The 3,933-nt window shown below is 59.1% G+C and overlaps 1 protein-coding gene across 1 annotated transcript, besides 1 other annotated feature; it reads right to left on the bottom strand.

Moving 5' to 3' along the window:
• Window positions 653-3,494, bottom strand: PRAF2 (PRA1 domain family member 2). The gene is made up of 3 exons (NM_007213.3): window positions 3,301-3,494; window positions 1,925-2,142; window positions 653-1,500 (listed from the first exon to the last, which is right to left on the bottom strand). Exons 1-3 carry the CDS (start codon window positions 3,477-3,479, stop codon window positions 1,361-1,363), a joined length of 537 nt encoding a protein of 178 aa, NP_009144.1. The 5' UTR covers window positions 3,480-3,494; the 3' UTR covers window positions 653-1,360.
• Window positions 3,677-3,776: a silencer, noted in NCBI's record as "silent region_20834". NCBI's record gives its function as "represses an Ori minimal core promoter by ATAC-STARR-seq in GM12878 lymphoblastoid cells {active_cell/tissue: GM12878}" and the evidence as "EXISTENCE:reporter gene assay evidence [ECO:0000049][PMID:35858748]".

A 3,933-nucleotide genomic window follows, 5' to 3' on the forward strand; every position in this document is an offset into this window, starting at 1 on the left:
CCGGGAGGCAGAGATTGCAGTGAGCCGAGATCATGCCACTGCACTCCAGCCAGGGCGACAGAGCAAGACTGTCTCAAAAAAAAAAAAAAAAGTAGAGATGGGGGTCTCATTATGTTGCCCAGGTTAGTCTCGGACTCCTAGGCTTGAGCAGTCCTCCTGCCTCAGCCTCCCAAAGTGCTGGGATTGCAGGCGTGAGCTACCATGCCCAGCTTTTTGAGACAGGTTCTCACTGTTGCCCAGGTTGGAGTGCAGTGGCACAATCACAGCTCACTGCAGCCTCTACCTCTTAGGCTCTGGCCATCCTGCCACAGCCTCCCAAGTAGCTGGGACTACAGAAGCACACCACCATGCCCAGCTAAATTTTAATTTTTTTGTAGCAATAAGAGTCTTGCTATATTGCCCAGGTTGGTCTCAAACTCCTAGCCTCAAGTGATCCTCTAGTCTCAGCCTCCCAAAGTGTTGGAATTACAGGCGTGAGCCACTGCACCTGTCCTTCCCTGTGCTTTAATGCTGATCCAGAGGTCATAAGTTCAAGGAAGGGCCTCAGAGATCACCTCTTCAGCCCACATATTCAGGAAGAGTCTAGCAGAATTGAAAAGTAGGCCACTTCTGTCCTTTGAAATGTACAAGGACTTTACCCAGGAGGCTCAAATTGGCATGAGAGATGCAACAGGCTTTATTGTTGCAGCAACACTAACATATACGCCCCATTCCCTGCTGAGGCCTGTCCCCACCTCACCCCTTGGTTGTCGATGGTGTGGAACATTGGGGTGAGGGGCAAAATGCCTAAGCAGAGCTGGAGGGAGGCAAATGGGACTGGTGAGGGTCGGGATCACCTGGACCAGGGGTCCAACAGTCAGGATACCCGACTCCATCCACACAGGGGCATGGAACACTTGGGTTCTGAGTTCAAGATTTGGCAATGTCTTGACCTGGGTTGGAAGGTAGGGTGGGGTCTGGAAAAGCTTTGGTCCAGGGTTCAAGATTTGAGAGTGCCTTGCCCCAGGCCCCAGTTTGGGGATGAGCATGGAGAAGGGTGGATGGGAGTGTCTCTGGGTTCACAATTTGAAATTGGCCATGGATGCTCTGGCCTGAAGCCAGTTTTGGGGCTGGATGTAGGTGGCTCTTGGTCCTGGGTTCAAGGCTGGGGAAGACTCTTGTCCCTAGGTAATGGGGGCTGGGTGTGAGGGATATCTTAGTTTGGGGCTGGCGTGGGGGTAGGGCGGTCACAGATGTCCTGTTTTGTTTGGGCAGGGGGCTCTAGGCTCCTGTTTTAAGTGCTGGGAAAGGGCTCTGGGTCCCAATTATGGGCTGGGGGTGGGGTGGTATTCTCCAGGTCCTGGGTACAGATCCCAGGGGCCTAGGATCCAGCCTCCTGCTCTTGTCCCAGTGCCTCTAGTAGCAGGCCCATTGGCGTCCGCTTGAGACCAATGCTCTCGATCTTGTTCTCAATCTTGTTCTTAAGGTTGCGCAGGCGCAACGAGGCGTGCACCAGGATCACTGTGGGCGGCACCGAGAGGGGTGGTCAGTGGAATAGACCTCAGCCTGCAGCCAACCGGGGCCCACCGAAGGGAATTGGCGCGCAGGCAGGCCAATGGAGTGGTGAGCAGCCAGGACGCCTCAGATACTGAAAGCGTGGCCGAGTAATTGGCTTGGCAACGTGGGCATGGCCAGGGAAGACGCCCGGTAACGGGGACGTGGCCAGTGGAAGGCACTTAACACCAAGAGTGAGATAGGAAAGGCGATAATAAAAGGGGTGTTCCCAGAAGGGGGAACGAAGCCCGGGAAGGCGCTTTTAGCGGGGGCGTGGCGAGGCCCTCGGGTTTCCCAGCCCCCTCTCAACCCGGGGACCGGCAGGGCTGGCCTGGTGCCTTAAGCATGCTCTGGCTGCTTTCCTGGCTATCTCGGGGTAGTGGAGACTCACGAAGCACCGGCCCGGCGATGCTGAACAGGAAGGTGCAAGCGCCGCCCGCGACCCAGAGCACCAGGAGGCCGACGGCAAGCACTGCGGCCAGGCAGGCTGCAGGGTGGCTGCGGCGGCAGCGGCGCACAGCTGCGCGGGTCTCAGCTGCCCACACCAGCACGCCGAGGGCCACCGCCACTACCAGCGCGCTCAGGAGCGTATGAAGTGGCCGCACGTACCTGCGGGTACAAGGGAACCAAGCTAGCCGGCCGGGCGGAGAGACGGCCTCCGGACCACCACCCACCCTGGGCCCCAAGAGCCAGGGTCTCCCGTCTCCGGACACTCCAGCCTGGCACATCCTCCCACCAGCCCTATCTCCAGCAGGCCCATCTGCCAGGGCTCCCGACTCACCCTTGTAGACCCCTCCTTTCCTCCTTGTCAATTCCACTGTCCTGTCTTCCTCAGGTCCCCGCTTCAGGCCCTCCCATCCTGCTAGACACTCCCCACACCCCCGGGCTCCCAACACTTCCCTGGACTTTCCTTCCGACTCTGCCCCCGTAGGGCCCCTCATCAGCCTGCCCGCAAGCTCCCCCTTTAACACCAGCCCCTGCAAATCCCTCTTTCAGGCCTTCTGTCTTCACACGTTCCCCTCTCCCCAGGCCTAGGGTCCTTATAGAACCGCCCTCCAGGCTCCCATTTCCCTATAGATTCCTCCCTCCATCATTGCTAGGACCTCTTCCAGGTCGTCAGCCCCACTCTGAACTTTCAGCACTGCTCAAGTCCTTCCTCCAGATTCTCCATCCCTCTCTGGTCTCAGGCTTTCCAACCATGGATCCTCCTCCTGGGCCCAAGTTCCCCAACAGGTACCTGCCCCTGGCGCCTTCCAATCATAGCCAGGCTCCCCTCCAAGACCGGATCCCCAATAAATACATCTTCCAAACCCTCCAACTTTACCGTCTATTTCCCGGTCTCTGCCCTAAGTACTCCAGGGTCGGCCTCAATCTGGCCCCATCATTCACATCACACCCCCCCTACGCCCCTCAAGTACTCTCATGTCCCCCTTTCGGGCCCTCCTTTTTTTCCGGTTCACCTTCCAGCCCACTTTCCCCTTCAGTCCCACACTTGTCTCCATCCTCCCCATATCTTCCTTGCAGACCCCCATCCCCCGCAGGCCCTCCTCATCAGCCAGGCTCCATCTCCCTGAGGCCCTCCTTATAACTAGGCTCCACCTCCTTCAAGGCCCCCCTTCCAAGCCCCTCAGGCCGTCCATCTCTACTGACTTCGCCCTTCCCGGCCTTGCACCCCCCTCAGGTTCCCCGTCCTGGTCCTCAAAGACCTGTGGGTCTACCCCCACGCTCTGCAGACGTCCCTGGCCAACCGGCGCCTCCCTCCCTCACCCGGCGAGAGCGAGGCCGATGCCGAAGCAGAGAAGGTAGTTGGTTTGGTAGTAGAGGAGGTTGTTGATGACGCGGTGGCACCATCGCTGCGGGTCGCATGGATCCGGAGCCGCCAGACGCGCCGACCCCAGAACAAAGTCGTCCAGGGCGCGTAGCGGTGGCAGCCGCACCTCCGACATCCTGCCGGTTAATGTGGCTGGACCAGCCAGGAGGGGGCCGGACTACAACAACCGTTACGCCCCTCGCCACCGCGGGGCACACCGGGAAATGGAGTCTGGGCTGGGCAGCTTTTTCCTAACCTCCTAGGTGGATTGCGCAGGGGCGGCGATGCACGTGACCGGAAAAGCAACTAACACGCCGCTCAGGAAAGCAGCAAAGGCTGCCGGGAAATCAAGCCTTTGCCACGAAGCGAGATGCTCCCAACCCTTAAAACTGCCATCCACCCCCGCGCGGGGCGCCGCAGGGGCTGCTCCGGGCGGTGCCAGCGGCTCAAGCACAAAGTAGCCAGACAGATAAGAAAGGAGGGACTGTCACAAGGATCCGAGTTGGATTCCACCTCCTTCCTGTCAGCGCCCAAGAGGGTCACATTTCTCCAGGAAACTCCATGCCCCGCCCCTGAGGTCAAGCCGTAAA

The sequence above is a fragment of the Homo sapiens genome, chromosome X (genome assembly GCF_000001405.40).
Source record: "Homo sapiens chromosome X, GRCh38.p14 Primary Assembly".
Classification (NCBI taxonomy): Eukaryota; Metazoa; Chordata; class Mammalia; order Primates; family Hominidae; genus Homo; species Homo sapiens.